This window comes from Homo sapiens, chromosome 1 (genome assembly GCF_000001405.40).
Source record: "Homo sapiens chromosome 1, GRCh38.p14 Primary Assembly".
Classification (NCBI taxonomy): domain Eukaryota; kingdom Metazoa; phylum Chordata; class Mammalia; order Primates; family Hominidae; genus Homo; species Homo sapiens.
Window position 1 is genome coordinate 182,235,661 of NC_000001.11, and position 22,509 is coordinate 182,258,169.

At 43.0% G+C, this 22,509-nt stretch overlaps 1 long non-coding RNA gene across 1 annotated transcript in view, besides 2 other annotated features; it reads right to left on the bottom strand.

The window, feature by feature from the left end:
• LINC01344 (long intergenic non-protein coding RNA 1344) overlaps positions 1-22,509 on the bottom strand; it is a 110,117-nt gene that overhangs the window by 31,716 nt on the left and 55,892 nt on the right. The gene's annotated exons all lie outside the window — the stretch shown is intronic.
• Positions 13,552-14,053: an enhancer, noted in NCBI's record as "H3K27ac hESC enhancer chr1:182218347-182218848 (GRCh37/hg19 assembly coordinates)". NCBI's record gives its function as "activates a minimal SCP1, AML or CMV promoter by ChIP-STARR-seq in naive H9 embryonic stem cells {active_cell/tissue: H9 hESC(naive)}" and the evidence as "EXISTENCE:reporter gene assay evidence [ECO:0000049][PMID:30033119]".
• Positions 13,608-13,807: a silencer, noted in NCBI's record as "silent region_1616". NCBI's record gives its function as "represses an Ori minimal core promoter by ATAC-STARR-seq in GM12878 lymphoblastoid cells {active_cell/tissue: GM12878}" and the evidence as "EXISTENCE:reporter gene assay evidence [ECO:0000049][PMID:35858748]".

Below are 22,509 nucleotides of genomic sequence, written 5' to 3' on the forward strand. Positions count from 1 at the left end.
GTGCTCAGCTTTCCAACTTCACCCAGCAAGAGGCAGGAATGAAGGTTGAGTGACCATCCACACCACAGCTGGCACTTTCAGCTGTCATTGGCCTCACAGCACCACAGTTAGGTAAGTGCCCATTTCACAAATGAGGAAGCAGAGCCTTCAGGAAGTTACCTTGTCTGCCCCGGGTCACAGAGGAAGGGGTGAAGAAGCAATGTAAACAGGTTCTATCTTAATCAAAGTCTATGCCCTTAACTACCATTTTTTCTAATCCTCCCTGCATCTTGAATGCCTAACTCTGCATGTGGCCACACCTACTGAATGAATGTTAGAGTTCATTCATCATGAGTTTAAACAGAAAATTACACCAACTTAGAATGCTGTGGCCTAGAGAAAGTGTCTTTACCTCCTGAGTGCGACCCAAGTCAGGAGGCAGGAGGCTGACTGAGGGACACGGAGGAGGTATGCACACTCACAGCATGAGGCAGAGCTGTGTGCACACATCAAGCAAGGAAATGGGGCCGGAATATGGGGCAAAGGCCTACGGATTGAATGGTGGATTTGGATGTGGGCCACTTCTTCCAGCCCCTGAAAGAGGACCAGGCAATGTGGCTATGAATGGGCCTAATGAGAATTGATTGATTCGCTCGAGATGTTTTCTTTTTCTTCCTAAAATAGAAAATGACATACCCCATGATTCATGCACTCCGGTGCCCGTGATAATGGCCTCTTCAGTGCACTGACTCTGCTGATAACCACAGGCACTCATCCTCCGCAGAGGGGTTGTGTGCCACACCCTAGGCACATAGCAACCCTGCAGGCTGTCAGACACCTGCCGCAGAGAGTGCTTTCCACACGCTCTCTGGGACATGAGGCACAGTTCCCAGGAGTGCCTGAGAAATCTCAGTTGCCTGGCATAGATGCTAAGGCCTGAGAGAAGAGCCCAGAGTCTAGGCCTGAGGGGCTGCAGTCTGCACACAGGAGTTAACTCATACACATATACAACCCACAAAGCCACACACATACATAGCACAAATACACACACAGATAGACACAGCACACACAGACACATACATCACACACACACAGACACAAACATGCACACTACACACATGCACAGCCCACATAAACACCCACAGAGTTGCAAATATACACAGCACAAATACACACACAAATAGACCACACGCAGAGAGACACATCACACATACACACAGATACAAATATACACACCACACACAAACACAGAGAGACACACACACCACACATACAACACACACAAACATACACACTACACACATACACAACCCAATAAACACCCACAGAGCCACAAACATATGTAACACAAATACACAGAGAGACACACCATGCAAAGACCCAGAGAAACACCATATACCACACATATGCACACACAAACGTGCACACCCAACACATCACCACGTGCAACACATACACCATACACGGAAACACATGAAGACACTTACGTACACCACACACACATATACACACACAGACACAAACATACGCAGCGCACACACACCACACACATACGCAGGCTCATGCACATACTCTACAAAAAGTGCCTCACTACAGGACAGCCATATCCTAAAAGGCTTAAAATAATGGTTATATGGCCTACAAACGCAGAAGGTGTGTATACAAACCAGTAAAAGAAATGAAAGAAAGCATCAAAAATGGTAAATACACGAAGATAAAATCCCTGTTGAAATGCACGCATGATATTTATTGGGATTGGAGGACAATTCAGGCAACACAAATAATTGATATTTAGTAATCTTTGGATTGTTCCTTGTGAACTTATTCAGTTGAACAGCACATTTTTTCAAGTGGCTGCCCTTTAGCCCCTGTACACTCACTGTGTGGCCACTGACTTACACCCACTGGGCATCTGCCAAGTCCCTACCTCATCTCCCTCCCTTCCAAATGTACCTGTCTGGGGACAGCCCTGCAGAGCCCCTGCAGCGCCTGTTTGATGATAGAGCTTGCCACCCAGTCCCTCTCATTCTTCCAAGCTCCTTTCCTGCCCAAGTCAGGAAAGTCCCACAGTTCTTGTCTCATAGTACACACAGGGAAGTTCAGGGATTTGGTGCTAACTTTAGTTAGACCCCGGCTTCCCAGAGCCCTGATTTCTTCCAGGGCTATAGCAGTTTATCTCTGTGTGCCCAGGGGGTGCTCAGGCCCAGGAATTGTGAATATTAGATGTTCCCTTTAGTATTTCTAAGATCCTATAGGGAAGAGTGGGAAATTGAAGTTAAGGGACAACTAGCAGGTGAGAATGACAGCTGGGGATTATTGACCAAGAAGGAAAGGATGGGCTGGTTGTAAATATACCTTCAAGACCCATTATCTTACTGAACTTGAAAGCTAGAGGGGAATGTACAGAGACCATCAGCTATAACCCCTTCATCTTCCAGATGTAGAATCTGAGGCCAGAAGAGTGAAACAATATGTCTAAAGTCAAAACCAATTAATTAGAAGCGACTCTGTGATCGCAAATGTAGAATTCTTCCCTAATGGAGCACTGGTTACCATTTTCTATTTTCTGATTCTATGGTATTATTTCACCGACTTGATGTATGGACCAAGATATTATTCTGGATTTGAGATTTTATTAGAGAAGCTAACAAAGTAAACATACTTTATTTAGGACTTTCCATTTTATTAGATGAATATTATATTCCTCTTTTCCTAAAGCAGGAGATGCTTATGTTGGACAACCAACTTTTATATAATATAATATAGAATATATATAATTTTATATATAACATAATATAGAATATTATTATTTCATTTAACATTTAAATAGTCCTGCCAGGTGGATACTACACATTTTATAATCAAGAGAGGAACAGTAGTTCTGGGAACGTGATTAAAGATGAATGAAGATCAACCCACTCAAGTTGGTCTGGCTTCCATGTCATGGAATTTCTGCATTGCCACTCTGCTTTGCAAGCTTAGGAGACACCTGCTGTGGTTTGAATGTTCATCCCCTCAAAACTCTTGTTAGCCTGAGTAGAGGGCACCCTGCACTCACTCTCCTGCCACCACAGTTGGCAACTTTTAGGAGCATATTCTTGCTCTACTGTGGTTGATTTGTATTTTGTTTTTCCTTCTTTGTTTTTCCTTTCCTATAATATAATATAATATAATATAATATAATATAATATAATATAGAATATTATATAAAAGGCACAACACAAGTTGGTTGTCCAACACAAACATCTCCTGCTTTAAGAAAGTTCAAAATAGAAAAATAATAAAAGTATGATTGCCTCATTACAAAATATATTTTATAGTAGGGTTTTTGTTTTTTGAAAAGATGTTCCCACTACATATTTCAACTCTGAAGTTTTCAGGGATAACTCAAGAAAAAATGGTATAAGTCAAGAAAAATAATGAATGTATATGTACTTTTGGCAAACTAATAATTCACAGGTAAGTATGTGTTTTTACTAGATTTATAAAACAGTAAGAAACAGGAAAGATGTGTGGATTAGTAATGTGAAAACAGAGGTCTACTTTACATTTGCCATAATTCCAGGCTTACATGAATCCCTTAAACTTTGTAAGCCTCTATGTCCTCCTCCAGAAAATTTGTTATTTTCTGGGTTTTTTTGTTATTTTTTATTTTCTGTTATTTTCTGGAGGAGGACATTGACTGGGACCAAATGAGTTCTATGGGTTTGCTGTAATCTATTTTCTGTTGCTTATAACAGAATACCTGAAACTGGGTTATTTATAAAGAAAAGAGATTTATTTCTTATAATTCTGAAGGCTGAGAAGTCTAAGGGTATGGCTCAGGATTCCACAAGGGCCCTCTTGCTGGAGAGGATCCCTCTAAAGAGTCCCAGCCTGGTGTAGAGCATCACATGCTGAGGGGACTGAGTGTGCTTGCTCAGGTCTCTCTTTCTCCACTTTTTATTTTTTTAATTTTAAAGTTTTTATTTGTAGAGATGGGGTCTTTCTATGTTGCCCAGGCTGGTATCAACCTCCTGACCTCAAGCAATCCTCCCGCCTCAGTCCCCCAAAATGCTGAGATTACAAGAGTCAGCCACAGCACCTGGCCTATTTCTCCTCTTCTAAAGCCACTAGTGCCACTCCCATGATAACCCATTATTCCATTAATCCATACATGGATTAATTCATTCATGAGTGGAGAGCCATCATTACCCAATCACCTCTTAAAGGCTTCACCTCTCAATACTGCTAAATTGGGGACTAAGTTTCAACAGGAGTTTTGAGGGGATGAACATTCAAACCATAACAGGGGTCTCCTAAGCTTGCAAAGCAGAGTGGCACTGCAGAAATTCCACGACATGGAAGCCAGACCAACTTAAGTGGGTTGATCTTCATTCATTTTTAGTCACCTTCCCAGAACTACTGTTCCTCTCTTGATTATAAAATGTGTAGTATCCACCTGGCAGGACTATTTAAATGTTAAATGAAATAATGGCCACAAAGTGCCTAGCCATTGCCTGCCTCAACATTGATGTTCAGTAATTTTAGTTTCATATCCACCTCCAACTTTGCCATTCTACTCATTGATAAACATATCAAATGTATAAAGAACTCACAGCATCCATCTGACTCAGTGAGCCATTTGGAGATTCAGTAATGAAAGACAATGTCATCCTTCCACGACGTGCCTTTTGCTTTCAATGTGGGAGGGATGGAAGCTAGCCTGAGTGGAGGGCACCCTGCACTCACTCTCCTGCCACCACAGTTGGCAACTTTTAGGAGCATATTCTTGCCCTACTGGGGTTGATTTGTATTTTGTTTTCCCTTCTTTTCACTGAGTTTTGCCTACTTGCTTCTTACTGATGATTTCATTTCATTGAGATTCATATACACAAACACACGCACGCACACACACAACACATATATTTGTCTGCCTCTCCCTTCAGTCATGGATCATTTCCTGCTTAAATCATTTCCCCAGGCTCCCCTCTCCTTCATCTGGCTAACCCTTCAGCTTTCCTCATGGAAACTTTTCTGACCCTTCACCATTCTTCCTATTTGCTTTCATAGCACCCTATGTTCTTCCTTCCTAACACTTACCATGATCAAAATTGCATAATTTATTTGTGTCATATTAGTCTGACTCCCTTTCCAGGCTGCAGGCTCCAAGAAGACAGCAAGCTTGTCTATTTTGTTCACTGACCTGTCCCTAAGACTTGCAGTGCTTAGCATTTAGTAGGGGCTCCAGAAATATGTGTGGAGTGGATGGATGGGCAAATAAATGAAAGGTGAATGAATGAATAAGGCCCAGAAGCTGGCTTTCATCCATAAGAATGGGCTAGCTCTGCGGTGGCAGGTCTGCCCCTTTCCTCATTTCATATAGAGCTTCATCTTCACTCTTGCCATTGGCAGGATTCCTCCACAGCTTCTCCTACACTCTCTTAAAATGAAATTGATGAAATTGATTTACTAGTAACATGAACAGTTCAGCCAGAAAGTTTTCATAGATCATGATTCTACAGAAATGCAATCTTGCTCAAACTGTGGCTTAAACACACATCCATAATACCCTCTGTGTCTTCTAATAGGGTACCAGAATCTACTTTGGGATAGCCCACATGGTTATTAAGAGAAGTAGGATGGTTAAAGGATCTTACAAACAACAGGACCCATTTTAGATTCCACGGTGACAACTTTTCTAGCCCAACAGTTCACCACTAAAGATTCTGCATGCATCATTTGGGGTCCCTTACTTTTGCCTCTTGGATTTCCTACCCTCTTTGTGCCCCCAGTTAATCAAATGAGCAGGTGAGCAGGAAAGAGCTCCTTAAAAGTAAGGTGTGGGTTTAAATCAAATCAGTCTTTTTTCCTATTGACGACTGCCCACAGAGCATAAAGAGTACTTGAGACTTGGAGAGAAAAGTCAAGGAGGGAGCAGAAAGTGAGGCAGAACCATGGATTTTTTTCTCTTTATGTTTCTGTCCTTAATAAAATAGCAACACGAAGGCTTCTCAGATGATGAGTGGTTTTCCTCTTCCAGTCCAGTCTAAGAATCAGGTTGAACAACTGCAGGCAGCTATGTAAGAAATAGTTTCCAAAATAATTTTCCATAGCTCTGCTGTGTTTGGGTCAACCCTCAGGCTTCCTGACAATAGATTTGTTCTTGTTTCCTCCTGATACCTGGTGCAGTGCTTTGGTGATTGTGCTGAGAGGACATGAGTACCCGCCTCTCAAACTCCCAGAGGTAAACTGGCATTATGAAGGAACAATAGCCCAAGTTTATGTTTGGAGGGAATATATTGAAGGATGCTATGTTTAATTTCACTGCTTCCGTGAATGGTCTTCAAGATGAATAGCTTCAAGATTCCTATGATTTCTCATTTCTTTTTTCTTTAAATAGCATATCAGGGCCCCCAGTTCAGCCTAAATAGCGTTCATTTCAGCAATTCAGACCTGTCTGCGTGTGTGTCACAGAAAGGCGGGGCAAGGGTCACTTTGGAAGGGGATTTTGGTGGTGGGAGTCTATACCCTGGAGTGGAGCCGGCTTGGGTACTTCAGACATCAGCGGGCTCCTCCCTTGGCTCCAGGTAAAAAGAAACTGTACACTGAAGCTGCAATAGCCAGTTTTCAGAAGCTAGGGGAGATGTGAACAGCACAATCTGATGCCGGGGGAGAAAAGGTAGCTAAAGTGGGAAGGAGCAATATTCTGTCTGCTTCTGTGCTAATCCTGCAGCATTTGGGGGATCTTGAATTCTTCTGAGACTGTAACTATCTATATCTTTGGGGACATGGTGGCAGCAGCGTTGGCAGACATCAGCACCCTCATGGGGCAGAGTCCATGCGGGATCATGTGGGCACATGCAAAAGATTCCTGAGGATTCCTGATGAAACCTAAAGGAGAGATCTCACAGAGAGGGTGGAGGATGCAGGAGCCCATCGGACAGCAATGATCATTGTTAATGTGACCCTGTTTGGAAACTTAAGTGTAGAACAGGGAAAGCACACATTACAGGAGAATTATAAAATGTCAGTGCTGGGAAGGATCTTAGAGATTATCTAGTCAAATATCCCTCATGATACAGGTGATGATAGCAAGGCCCAAACAGGATAGGCTACCCACCCTTGCTTGATGACCAGTTCACAACATAACCAGGGTAGAACATAGTTCTCTGGAGGCTCAGCCCATGACACATGATGGACTCCTGACATTCTTCACATGTTTGTAGGGCACTGAGGACTTCTGTTGTCTATGGGGAGAAAGTGTCTTCTAAGCACATACTACTTTGAGGGAAGTCCAGGGTGCCTTAAGTCAAATGGAACTTGGGCTATGGGCTGGGGTATTCTGTCCAGGGTACTCTTTTGGGAAGCCTGTTAGGTGGAGCTTTGCTGGTATTTGCTCTAAGAAGGTGCAGCTTCAACTCTGGCTAGGTAAGGTCAGAAAGGGAAAGGAGGAGCCTCCTAGAAACAGCATCGGCTGGATCTTGGGAATTCAGTCTGCTTACCTGCCTCTGCTCATATCTTCACAGATTTTTTTCCCTCTCAAAAAACTGGATTCACCCACAGAGTCTGCCAGCACTGGAGCAGTAAAAGACACAATGTATGTGTCTGTGAGTTTTGTTTTGTTTTAACCAAAATTCTCTCTGCTGCTATTTCAGCTCATTTATTCTTGATTTGGCCTGAGCAAATCTGAAGCCATGTGTTATTGTTATTTATATTTCTTCATGAAATTCGGTCATCCCTTAGCCTGCCCAAGGTGAAAGAGCCCAAGTTCTTCAACCATTGGCTCTTAGGAAGTTGGAACCAAAGTAATGGTTGTAATAATCTTGTAATAGAATGTTCCAGAAACTCAGGAGAGGATACAACCTTCCAAACCTCAAGCATTCATTTTCAGCTATTCACCCTTATTACTGTACTAATAAAAACCTACTAAATTTATTCTACCCTAGAGTACTCAGGATATGAACTTAGCAAAGATTCATATTACATTTAAAAATTGATTTTAAAAATACACACACACACACATTTAGCTTTAAAAACACATATACAATACATTGAAAATACACTCAACAAAACTATAGCCTTTTCCTTTGGAAGGTCACTGATTGGATGGGGAAATTCTGATGTAGAATAAATTAACAGTCATCTGACCCCATTTCAGGTTCATGCAGACACCCCCACCTCTCTGCACTTTGCTGCATTCTTGTGAATGGGCCCAAACTCACCCAGATGACATCTTTCATATTCTTTCTTTCCCACTCACTCCCTGCCCCCCTCCAAACTTTACCCCCTCACATTCCTTCTGCATTTGGCTTCACAAGTGACCATGACAATAGGCTGAGGGTGTTTTTAATTGTTTCTGGTGATGCTCTCCAGCATGGCCTCACGGGAAATCTTGCACCTGCAAAGCCAGAGCAGTCTGCCACAGAGGCCATGCTGACCACGTGGGAGACAGACCATGGGCCAGAATTTCACTCTGCAGTGACCCTGGGTAGGGGTTAGGGAGGGGATAAGTCTTTACCAGGCTTCTGGTCAAGCTCCATCCCCAACGGATGCCCATGACGCTCTGGGATCTGCTCAAAGGCAAAGCATTCTCTTGTGTCTGTCTATCCATTTGCACTCCTGGACTCCTGCCCTATCTCCCTCTAAACAGAGTCAATATGAAGAATGTCTCATTCTTTTCCCCAAAACCCTCAAGAGAAAGTTTGCTATAATAGAATTACCAGACACCAGTACCTGGAACACACAGGATGAGATGAAGTCAGCAAAATGAAATTCAACAGAGTTTGGAAAAATGTCCAGAGATTTAAAAAAGTTATGTGGCAAAGCTATCATCAAAGGATTAAGGTTCAAGCATTGTGATGAAGGCAGATGAGGCGTTATCTGCCCCTGTGGTCTCACAATGAGTTGTGTGACTTCTCACACCACCTCATGTCCTTCCAGAGAGATCACTGTCTGCAGCAGGGCCTAACACAGTTATGTCACTAATCCAGTTCCACAAGACTCAGGTGACCCAACGGACATGCCCCATGGCCATTTGCTACTCTATGCTAATCCAAAGAGACAGCTTGTGGCTTGGGGGCAGTACAGATTTATGGATCTCTTACCTCTGACTTCCTACCCTGACCCTGAAGAACTGAGGTTTAGTCCTGTATACAGTTGTTTTGGTCAGAGATGTATCAGCCAGTAACAGGCAGGTGGAGTGGTTCTCTGAAGAAAAATCTCCACTGTTAGAGGAAGAAGTTTCCAACGCCAAGCATAAGGAATCTACAAGATGTGGAAGAAGCACTGAGCAATGTAGAAGTTTCCAGAATTGAGAAAGTGAAGGTTCAAGCAAGGGGTAAGACCGCCATTGTGAAGAGACAGTACAGCCACTGAGAAGAAAGTTGTGGGACTAGGCTGGGTGCAGTGGTTTGTGCCTATAATCCCAGCACTTTGGAAGGCCAAGGCAGGAACATTGCTTGAGCCCAGGAGTTTGAGGCCAGTCTTGACAACATGTGAAATCTTGTCTCTACAAAACATAAACAAAATTAGCCGGGTGTGGTGGTACGCACCTGTGGTCCCAGCTTCTTGGGAGCCTGAGTGGGAGGACAGCTTGAGCCCCAGATGTTGAGATTGCATGCAGTGAGCCTAGAAGGAGCCACTGCGCTCCAGCCTGAGCATGAGATAAAGACCCCGGCTCTACAAAAAAAAACAAAAAAGAGAGAGAAGAACAAGAAAAGCTGTGGCACTTGAGGAAACACTACTCCTGCTTTGGAGAATAAGTGCCTAATTTGTTATCTCACTTCTAGACTCAGAGCTCTTGACATCAGGAACCTATGCTACCATTAATATGTAAATGTTGGGCGAATGTCTGGAACATAGTAGGTACTCAATAAATGTTTGCTAAGCTGATTAGAATCAAAATAAGCAAATCAAACTTAAAAACTAGTCAGTATAAAAATCAGGGTTCTCTGTAGGAACTCAGATTGCTGACCACCAAAATTTCTCTTACTTCCCTCTTGAATTAGTCTGACACTTGTTCAGGTTCTCTGAACAAGTAATGTTGTCTAATAAACTAGCTTCTAGACAGATGTGGCTATTTAAGTTAATTAAAATTAAATGAAATTGAAAATTCAGTTCCTCAGTCACACTGGCCACCTTTCAAATGCACAATACCCTCATGTGGCTAGTGGCTACCACACTGAACAGCAGCAATTCTAGAACATTCCCATCACTGCACAACGTTCTATTGGGCAGCACTGGTCTAGAGTGTCGAAGAGAGCCTTCACATCTGATTCAGCCTTCTGAAGAAAGACATTTTGGATTTAGGAGCACATGAAGAGAATGGGGAGTTTTTAGGGCATTCAGGCAGGTTTTATAAACTTCTTCCGCTGAAGCTCAACTCCTTCCTGGAAAAAGAGGAATGAGAAGGAAATGGAAAAAGGACAGAGCTGACAAACATTTTCTATAAAGAATCAGATAATAGCTGGGCACGGTGGCTCAGGCCTGTAATCCCAGCACTTTGGGAGGCCAAGGTGGGTGGATCACCTGAGGTCAGGAGTTCGAGACCAGCCTGGCCAAAATGGTGAAACCCCTTCTCTAGTATTTTTATAAAAATACAAAATTAGCCAGCTGTGGTGGCACATGCCTGTAGTCCCAGCTACTCTGGAGGCTGAGACAGGAGAATTGCTTGAACCCAGGAGGCAGAGGTTGCAATGAGCTGAGATCACACCACTGCACTCCAGCCTGGGCGAGACACAGCGAGACTCCATCTCAAAAAAAAAAAAAAAAAAAAAAGAATCAGATAATAAATATTTTAGGCCTTAAAGGCTAAGAAACAAAATCAAGGCAAGGTGTGGTGGCTCACGCCTGTAATTCCAGCACTTTGGGAGGTCGAGGCGGGCAGATCACCTGAGATCGGGAGTTCGAGAACAGCCTAACCAACATGGAGAAACCCCATCTCTACTAAAAATACATGCATAGTGGCACATGCCTATAATCCCAGCTACTTGGAAGGCTGAGGCAGGAGAATCGCTTGAACCCAGGAGGCGGAGGTTGCGGTGAGCCGAGATCGTGCCATTGCACTCTAGCCTGGGCAACAAGAGTGGAAACTCCGTCTCAAAAAAAAAAAAAAAAAAAAGAAAAGAAACAAACTCAAAGAGATTCTTTAAATACTTATATAGCAAAGGAGAAAAGAAATTTCCACAAACTTTTATTGATGACATTCAAAACTTTAGGAACACTGAAATTTGAATTTATATAATTTTCACATCATTAAATACTATAGTTGTTTTGATTATTTTCAACCATTTCAAAAGGTAAAAACCATTCAAAGCTCATGGGTTGCATCATAACAGGCAGTGGGCCAGATTTGGCCTGCAGGTATAGCTTGCTACTTGGCATGCTAGACCATGCAGAAAAAACACCACGCAACATGACTGGCTGGCTTCTTTTAGGAGCCAATTTTCAGGAGTGATATGCAAATCGGATGGGAAGCTTGTGCAGAGTATATTGAAAGTCTCCCTCGAGAAGCAGGAATGAGGCCGGGCACGGTGGCTCACACCTGTAATCCCAACAGTTTGGGAGGCTGAGGAGGGAGAATCACTTGAGGTCAGGAGTTTGAGACTAGCCTGGCCAACACGGTGAAACCCTGTCTCTACTAAAAATACAAAAATTAGCTGGGCATGGTGGCACACACCTGTAATCCCAGCTACTCTGGAGGCTGAGGCACAAGAATTGCTTGAACCCGGGAGGCATAGGTTGTAGTGAGCCGAGATAGCGCCATTGCACTCCAGCCTGGGCAACAGAGCCAGACTCTGATGAAAAAAAAAGGAAGAAGAAGGAATGACATCAAGTCCCCTCTAGAGTCGGGAATGGTCACTCAAGATAGAGATGATTCTGCTTTCTCAATCCAATGTAAGTTCTTTAGAGAGAGGAGCCACTGAGACCTAAAGAAACAAAAGAATCGTCCCCTCAGTCATTCAAACCTGCTACTGAAGCTATGGGACTTCTCAGAAGAATCCTCAAAGATAAGACCAGCGTGGGATGGCCATAGGCCCCCACAAGCTGTGATGCTAGAGAGAGTGACTATTTTCCCTGATTTCACAGCCAGCCACCTGCTTAGCCTGAAAGGAATACCCAGAGGGAGTCAAAGGAAGGTGATGGAGTTGGGAGAAAGAAGGCAGAACTTGGGCCACATCTGCATGGGGAAAAAAAAGAGAGGAAGCTGGGCATAGCAGCTCATACCTATAATCCCAAAACTTTGGGAGGCCGAGGTGGGAGGATCACTTGAGCCAGGAGTTGAGACAACTTGAGACCAGCCTGGGCAACATAGTGAGACCCATCTCTACAAAACAACAAAAACAAATTAGCTGAACATAGTGACACACACCTGTAGTTCCAGCTACCCAAGAGGCTGAGGTGGGAGGATCACTTGAGCTCAGGAGTTTGAGGCTGCAGTGAGTCATGATCATGCCACTGCACTCCAGCCTGAGTGACAGAGCAAGACTGTCTCAAAAAAAAAAAAAAAAAAAAAAAAATTCCCGGAGAAGGGTGATATACAAATGTGAGAGAGAGAAGAGGTGAAGAAGTTAAGGCAACTTTTAGGCAGGTGCAAGAATTGAGGAGCACTGTTTAAAGAGCATTCGCTAGGAGTTAGGCTGCCAAGATGTTCTTTGTCTTGACCCTATATATAGTTCACATCATTTTAGTACCATCTTTCCCCATATTTAAAAAAGAGATAATGATACTTCTTATATTTGCAAAAAAAAAAAAAAAAAAACAAGTGAACTTCTTTGGAAGGTTAATAAATCTTTCACATTGGTTTAGTTTGTAACCCAATTTTTTCCATTTTTCCCACTCCTGTTCCCCTATGAAGTCATTTAAATCTTCACACCAAAATGGAATTGCAGCTGCCTTCTCTGAGCACTCGGGGTAACTGCATGTACTTTTCTTCTTAAGTTTTATTTTAGGTTCAGGGGTACATGTGAAGGTTTGTTATATAACTAAACTCGTGGCATGGGGGTTTGTTGTACAGGTTATTTCACCACCCAGTATTAAACCCTGTACCCGATAGTTATCTTTTCCGCTCCTCTCCCTCCTCCCACCCTCCACCCTCTAGTAGACCCCAGTGTCTATTGTTCCCCTCTTTGCGTTCATGAATTCTCATCATTTAGCTCCTAATTATTAGTGAGAACATGAGGTGTTTGGTTTTCTGTTCCTGCGTTAGTTTGCTATTTCCAGTGCTTTTCTGTGTCTGCCTTCCCCACAAAACTGGAAACTCCCCCAGGGTGGCCACGGCATCTCATTCCTCCCCGCAACCCCGGGCCCTTGCTGGGTTAGGTTCTGGGATTTAGTAAGCAGTGAAATGTTTGCTAAAGGAATGAATGAACCCCTGGGCATTCCATTTATTACCTCAAGGTATCCCCTCACTAAAGCTTTGAGTTAGATAATACTTTGGGAAAACAACAGGGAGTGAATGATGAGGACTGTCTGAATATATGTCCTGCTTAAAGCATTTTTTTTTTAAATCTTAAAATACAACTGTAAACAAAATTTCAACCTATGAACTTCTAGGTTATAACTTCTGAAAGGTAGGTACTGTCATTCCCATTTACCAAGCGAGAAACCTAAGACTAACTTTCTTGCAGTCACATTGAAAGTTTCTGACTCAGAACAAGCATCCTGGCTTTTAGTCTTAGCTCACAGATTTCCTCTCAAAAGTGTGGCTCTTTTATGAGCGCTTAGCTGTGAGAGAATGAGCAGTCAGTCGGTGGTAAGAACAAGTAATTCATGAACCTTTCCAGAGGATCAGTAAACAGACCTTCGCCGCCGCCCCTGCCTTCCTGCACTCCGCCCTTTGACAATGTTTGCGTCCCATCCTAAGGTCTCCAGGGTGGAACCTGCCCAGATGGTGTGAGAGGAGGAGCTTAGTTAAGCAAGAGGCATGTATAATGAAGCTTCGAGTGAACTAGCTAAGAAGAAACATGCAGGCCAGGCCCGGTGGCTCACGCCTGTAATCCCAAAACTTTGGGAAGCCGAGGCGGGAGGATCACTCGGTCAGGAGATCGAGACCATCCTGGCCAACATGGTGAAACCCTGTCTCTACTAAAAATACAAAAAATTAGCCAGGCGTGGTGGCACATGCCTGTAATCTCAGCTACTATGGAGCCTGAGGCAGGAGAATTGCTAGAACCCGGGAGGCGGAGGTTGCAATGAGCCAAGATCGCACCACTGCACTCCAGCCTGGTGACAGAGCAAGACTCCAGCTCAAAAAAAAAAAAAAAAATAGTAACATGCAGAAGAAAACCCAATGAAGACTGCTATAGAAGTTGTTTGGCATTTCCTAGGTTGGAGAGGGATGGGGTGGAGACCTAGAACTATCATCGTCATAGCTGGTCAGTCCTTGGCTTCACTCCACAGGATTTATCCTTTTTACTGAGGCTGTCCTATCTCCTTGGTACACCTATTAGTCTAGTGGGGACCAGTAGTTCATGTTCCTACATATTTATGCAGGATTAGCAAACTGGTGTGTGTCATTGTCATTAACATCATCATCTCCATCATCACCACCACCACCATTGCCACCATGCCCAGCACCTCATAGTTTACCAAGTGTTTTCGTATTCACCTTCTCACTCTGTGCTGACAACAGCCCTTTGTGGACAGCTCTGTTGTTGTGATCATGTGTACTAAAATCACTGGCTTTTCCTTGGGCCTTCAAATGAGTATTTTCATAGTATGAGAGTAGAGATAGGGTCAGAAAAAGTACTATTAAATAACCTAGGAGAGAAGAACCCTTTATAATACTTTGCCTTTGTGAGTCACTTGGTGGGGGTCACCTATTTAGCACTTCTGCTAGTTTTTTGCTACTAAGGATGCTAACCAAAATAAAAATAAGGACATTAAGAAGATAGATTATAATAACCAGAGTAATTTCCCAAATTCTCCTTTTGAAAAACAAGACTAAGGCCCACTGAGTCAAGTCATATGTGGAATGAAAATGTAATGAAATAATAGTAAATAATAATAGTACTATATATAAATGTTTAGCTCTTTGAAAAGTGCTTTTGTCTAATTTGGCCTCACAACTACTTTCAAGTTATTAAAATAATCATTATCTCCATTTTAAAGATAAAAAAGAATTTCAGTTAAATAACTCATTGATGTAAGAAACAGAACAAAGCTCTAATAGGAAATTTTCTTGCCCATTTAAGAAACTCAAATCAAAGAAATTTTTAAAACAATATCCTTACTTTTACAGTCTATTAATAAACAATTTGACATTAATGCTTGAAATGTGGATTTTATACAATAGTGTGTGTTGAAAGGTTCACAGGATCTTTGTTGAATATAGAGACTCACGGGGTATCATTGAAAATATGCCTTCATTTATCTGGTTTCTGTAGAGCCTGTTTCTGGTGGTTTTTGTATCTTTGCCTCCCACCTCATCCCCAGTCACAACAAGTGTATTTTCTTCTATGGGGACAGGAATCACCTAGTAATAGGTAAAGGTCTGGTTCAGTGGTTTCCCACCTAGACTGCACATTAAATTTTCTGTGGGCTTTTTAAAAAGACAGAAACCTTCTAGTAACCAGAACAGCATGGTCCTGGCATAAAAACAGACACATAGACCAATGGAACAGAATAGAGAACCCAGAAATAAATCCATGCACTTACAGCCAACTCATTTTTGACAAAAACCCCAAGAACATTGGAGAAAGAATGGCCTCATTAATAAATGGTTTTGGGAAAACTGGATATCCATATGCAGAATAATGAAACTAGATCCTCATTTTTACCATATACAAAAATCAACTCAAAATGGATTAAAGACTTAAGTGTAAGACCTTAAACTATAAAACAACTAAAAGAAAAACACTGGGGAGATGGTACAGGACATCGGTTTGAGCAAAGATTTATCTGCATAAGGCCTCAGAAGCACAGGCAATAAAAGCAAAAATGGCCAAATGAGATTACATCAAGCTAAAAAGCTTCTGCACAACAATGGAAACAATCAACAAAGCAAAAAGACAACCTACAGAATGGGAGAAAAATATTTGTAAACTATCCACCCGACAAGGGATTTGTAACCAGAATATAGAAGGAACTCAAACAACTCAATAGCAAAAGACAAATAATCCAATTTGAAAATGGGCAAAAGACCTGAATAGACATTTCTCAAAAGAAGATATACAAATGGCCAACAGGTATAATGCCCAACATCAATCATTAGGGAAATGCAAATCAAAACCACAATGAGATATAATTTCATTCCAGTTAGAATGGCTATTATCAAAAAGACAAAAAATAGGCCTGGCATGGTATCTCACATCTGTAATCCCAGTGCTTTGGGAGGTCAAGGCAGGAGGATCACTTGAGGCCAGGAGTTTGCGGCTGCAGTCAGCTATGATTGCATTAATGCACTCCAGCCTTGCAACAGAGGTAGACCCTGTCTCTAAAAGAATAAAATATTCCAGGTATGGTGGCTCACACCTGTAATCCCAACACTTTGGGAGGCCGAGGTGGGTGGATCACTTGAGTCCAGGAGTTCAAGACCACCCTGGGCAATATGACAAAACACTGTTTCTACAAAAACTTAGGAGGACATGGTGTGTGTGCCTGTATTCCCAGCTACTCAGGTGGCTGAGGCAGGAGAATGGTTTGAGCCTGGGAGGTCAAGGACGCAGTGAGCCATGTTCGTGCCACTGCACTCCATCCTGGGCTACAGAGTGAGAGCCGTCAAAAAAATAATTAATATTAATAAATAAAGAAAAGTTAAAAAATAAATAAAAGAAACAGTGGCAAATGCTGGTAAGGATGTGGAGAAAGAGGAACCCTTGTACGCTGTTGGTGGGAATGTGTGGTAATATAGCCATATAGAAAACAGTATGGAGATTTCTCAAAAAACTAAAAATAGAATTACCATATGATTCAGGAATCCCACTGCTGGGTATATATCCAAAAGAATGGAAATCAGTATATCAAAGTCATATGTGCACTCCCATATTTATTGCAGCACTATTCACAAGAGCCAAGATATGGAATCAACCTGTGTCCATCAATGGATAAATGGATAAAGAAAATATGGCATATATGCACAAGGAAATATTATTCAGCCATAAAAAAGAATGAAATCCTGTCACTTGCAGCAACACAGATGGAACTGGAAGTCATTATGTTATGCAAAATAAGCCAGGCACAGAAAGACAAATACTGCATATTTTCATTCATATGTAAGGGCTAAAAAAGTGGATCTGATAGAGGTAGAGAGTAGAATCATGGTTACCGGAGGCTGGAAAGGAAAGTAGGGAGGGGAAATAAAGAGAAGATGGTTAAGGGGTACAAATATACAATTATGAGGAATAACTTCTGGTACTTGATAGTACAGTAGAGAGATTATAGTTAACTATAATTTATTACATATTTCAAAATAGAAGAATTATAATGGTCCCAACCCAAAGAAAAGATAACTATTTGAGTGATAGACATCCCAAATACCCTGATTTGCTCATTATACATTGTGTACAGGTATCAGAATATCACATGGTCCCCAAAATTACATGTACAACGATTCAACTATTGTTATAGCAGTAGGTAGTTAGGCAGACATGAGAAGGGCAGGACAAGGTGCCCCCTCACTTCCCCCTGCACCAGGAATGTCAGGTGACCATCAGTTGATGGTCAGGTGGTGGCTAAATCAATAATAATTGGTTGCAGCTAGTGTCTCCCAATAGACAGAAAACACCTGAAACTGGTGAGCAGCAGCTTCCTGATAAGATCTCAGGAGGTGGGCGAGTGGGCTCAAGCATGCACACTCAGGGGCAAAATGGCAGAGTTTAACTGGTATATGACCTTCTAGAACACCCAACTGGTAAGGGAAGAGAGCCTCGAGTGAGCACATGCACAACGCCAGTAAACACACTGTGCATGTGGCCCCTCCCAAGTGCTAGCAGGCCACTGCACATGCGGACAGCCCACCCCAAGGGAAGAATCAGAAGAGATGTAACACAACCCGGAAAGCCTGCCAACATACATAACACCAAGTTGAAGGTCAAACTGCGCACTTGATCTCTCAAGTCACCCAATTGGCCCTCTTCCAAGTGTACTGTATTTTCTTCATTCCTGCTCTAAAACTTTTTGATAAACTTTCACTCCCTCTGTATAACTTGCCTGGGTCTCTCCTTCTGCCTTATGCCCCTGGGTTGAATTCTTTTTTCTGAGGAGGCAAGAACTGAGGTTGCTGGCCAGGCGCAGTGGCTCACACCTGTAATCCCAGCACTTTGGGAAGCGGAGGCAGGTGGATCACAAGGTCAGGAGTTCAAGACTAGCCTGACCAAGATGGTGAAACCCTGTCTCTACTAAAAATACAAAAATTAGCCGGGCGTGGTGGCGGGCGCCTGTAATCCCAGCTACTCAGGAGGCTGAGTCAGGGAATTGCTTGAACCTGGGAGGCGGAGGTTGCAGTGAGCTGAGACAGTGCCACTGCCCTCCAGCCTGGGCAACAGAGTGAGACTCCATCTCAAAAAAAAAAAGAAAAGAAAAAGAATTGAGGTTGCTGCAGATCTGTATGGATCTGCTGCTAACACTATTATTTATCAATCAAAAAACAAAACATAGATGCCTAGCTCCTCTCTCAACAGCAATTTAATCTGAATCGCAGGGAATAGAGGCCAGGTGTTTGTGCCTTTTAAATCTCCCCAAGTGTTTCTTATATAAAGTAAAGGCTGAAAACCACAGATAACAATTTTACCTTATAGTATTACTTTAAATATTACTACTGTCATCATGATCATGATTCTTGCCTGTTTGTTTGCCAGTTTAATTTTATAAGAATTAATGGCAACAAGGGCATCATCCTCCAGTATGAGCCCTTTTTTATATTATGCTTTCCCGGTAGCTTGGTGATGTTGAGGCAGCTGCAGAACCAGAAGAGGAAAGGGTCAGGGCTTTCCTAGGCCAGTCTTTCCATGATAAAGAAATGGCGCTTGTCGATTAAATAAATTTCTTGAAAGATCTCCGCATAGTTTTTCATTCTCCCTTAATCTGACTGTGAGCTAAATTGCAATCTGAAATATTTAAGTTATATCACCAATCAAGTGGCTAATTGAGAAATCTCCTTCTCCTTCTCCCTGCAAAGCTCAACCAGACTGTTATAAATGCAAAGTTAGTCCAGGCACAGTGGCTCACGCCTGTAATCCCAGCACTTTGGGAGGCCAAGGTGGATGAATCACTTGAGGACAGGAGTTCAAGACCAGACTCACCAACATGGTGAAACCCCCATCTCTACTAAAAATACAAAAATTAGCTAGGTGTGGTGGCAGGCGCCTGTAATCCCAGTTACTTGGGAGGCTGAGGCACAAGAATCCCTTGAACTGGGAGCAGGAGGCTGCGGTGAGCTGAGATCACACCACTGCACTCCAGCCTGGGCAACAGAGTGAGTCTCCATCTAAAAAGATAATAATTACAATTAAAAATGAATAAATAAATGCAAATTTAAACCTACTTGCCACATGCCCCTAAATATGTTTGCATTAGATCTGTATTATTCTTAACTAATTCTGGTATAGAAAATGACAGGGCCTTGTTCAGGCTTCTCAGAAGTCTGTGCCAGGAGGGGCCCTAACCCAGAGCTGGAGATAGAGTTTCAGAAAGTATCTGTGACATGTTCTCTATATAAGCTATGGACTCTAGGCCATCGTGGCCCATCAGCTCCCTAGAAAGAGAGAGTGGGCCACCTAACCCTATGAGGGGCACTCTGAGTACAGCAAGGGCCCCAGAGAGGAGACAGGCCAGTCCGGGGGCTAAGGGAAGCTGCCCCAGGGGGCAAAGGTCATTTTTTGGAAAATAAAATCCCAAACCTCTGACTGAGTTATACTCCAGTACACAATTCTATATATATTCTAACCTTGAACCACTTCTCTTTCCAGACAAAGTGGATAGGCATGTGCATTGTTCAAAGCTCTGTTCACTGGGAAGATTTTCTCTTACCCCTGTCTTTTTCAAGGTCAGGCCTGAGTGACACTAAGTGCGGCTGTCATCAACATTCAACTTGCGCACGAGTACCAAGCCAACCCATCCATAAAGCAAGCTTGGGCTTTTTGATCCTCCTTTAGCTGTTGGTTAAGAATTGCCCATATAGCCATGGGTGTTAGAAGAGGGATGGGTGCCAGTGTAACAGTGGTGGGTGCCAGGAGTCTGAGCTCTCGGCTGTGTAGCCTGCTGTGCCCTCTTCCTGCTTTGCTCAGTTCCAAGTGTATACCACTTCTATTGTATAATGAATTTTGCTGGGCCCATCTGACCTTATGACTGACGGATATGACAGGACCCAGTTCAAGAAGAGTAGTTCTGACCAGGTGCAGTAACTCACACCTGTAATCCCACACTGTGGGAGGCCAAGGCGGGAGGATCCATTGAGCCCAGGAGCTAGAGACCAGCCTGGGCAACATAGTGAGACTCTGTCTCTAAAAAAAAAAAATAATAAATTAGCCAGGGATGGTTGTGTGTGCCTATAGTCCCAGCTAGGCTGAGGTGGGAGGATCGCTTTAGCCCAGGAGGTCAAGGCTGCAGTGAGTGGTGACTGTGCCACTGCACTTCAGCCTGGGTGACAGAGTGAGACCCCCATCTCAGAAAAAAAAAAAAAAGAGCAGTTCTGATGTGTCACATGGGCAGGCATTCTGCTTCTATCATAGTTTCTAGCCCAGTACCATGTCTGGAGTTATTTTTTTTAAAGGCACATGTTTCATCAGCATATTGCATGGTTTTGATCCACGCTGGAAAGTGAGAACGGTAAAACTGGGTTAATTTACCTCACGGGAGTCATCATAAGGATCAGAGTAGATAAGGCTGGTGAAAGTATTATACCATCACAACATTATTGTTGCAGAAAAGATTGTTACTTTGGATGTTGCTTGGAAATACATTCGCGGTGAGCAGAGACTTAATTTTTTTTTATTCTAGCCTTTTGATGACTATGGTATTACTTATAAAAGGATTTTATCTCAAGCAAAACAAAAAAGCAATGTTTAACAATAGCTCTAGTTGAAGATACTGCTTAGAATCTAGGCCGGGCGTGATGGCTCACACCTGTAATCCCAGCACTTTGGGAGGCCAAGGCAGGCAGATCACGAGGTCAGGAGTTTGAGACCAGCCTGGCCAACATGGTGAAACCCCGTCTCTACTAAAAATACAAAAATTGCTGGGCATGGTAGCACACGCCTGTAATCCCAGCTACTCAGGAGGCTGAAGCAGGAGAATTGCTTGAACCCAGGTGGCGGAGGTTGCAGTGAGCTGAGATCGCACCACTGCACTACAGCCTGGGCAACAGAACGAGACTCCATCTCAAAAACAAAACAAAACAAAACAAAAGAATCTATCTGCCTGGCCAGCCTGTAAGCAATCTATGTGGCAGGGTTTCTCGTGTGTTTTTACGTCTTTGGTGGTGATGGTGGTGGAGACAGCTGATTTTTAGTAGTTGCCCAAGGAGACATACTGATATAAACCCTGCATCTTCCACCCCAAGCCAACAGAAGTTGAGCACCCCCCTCTTATCTTAAATAAATGGGTCACACCCAGGCTTTAGAAAAGAGTTTTTTGTTTTTCGTTGTTTTTTTTTTTTCTAATACACTTTAATTGTATTAGCTGCATTGGTATCTGTTAAAGAAATGCTCCCTATTAGAGCTTGACGGCAGATTGAGAAAGAGTGTGTAAGATGAGTCAAATCTCCAAGCCAGCTGTGTAAGGTGGGGAGCAGACAGAAGAGAATCCACTTAATAATGATGTTGGAGCTTGCTTTAAAAAGACAAATTAAGTGTTTTAGCATCTATATCATCAACTGCATTTTATAATTCAATTATTTAATACCTCTGTCCAAATTATCAGCAGTCCAGAAAGCCTCTCACCACTCCCACCAGCAGGTTAAGGGCCTTATCAGCATCCCCAGTATAGGAGTCAGATGATAATTCTCAACTGAGCACAACAATGTTGGGCCCCACTCTGAGTCTCCTGACTCACAGGCCCAGTTCCAGGGCTGTCATTCATCCAGCCTCACAATCCCCAGCTCTACTCTTTAAGTTTCCAGCCTTGGGGGGAGTTCCCCTCCAAGAGAAAGGAGGGGCAGGGTGGGTTTTCAAAATCCAAGGCCTGAGCGGTGACTGGCCCAGGGCCTATCTCTAGTCTTTGGGATATGGCTGGGCTCCCATTCTTCCTCCAAATTAGGCTACCTACCAGCATTGCTGGAAGAAGGCATCTCCTAGGCCCATTAAATGCTGTGCCTGGCCTAGTGCCTTTGTGTCCAAAAGGCAGAGCCAAACCATCCCAGGGGTCCAGCTCTCAAGGTATGCAATCAGATGACCAGATATGGCAGAAAACCAAAGGGTGCAGTAGCTGGGCATGTGCCTGGGTGGACTTACATGGGGTGGAGCTAAGGTCTGGGTCCAGTCCTTCCGGGCTGGCTTTAATGCAGCACTTTCAGAATGGAGCTTGCTGTTCAGAAAACAATATTTGTCAGAATAATTTTCTTTCTTTCTTTCTTTTTCCTTCCTTCCCCTTCCCTTCCCACCCCTTCCCTTT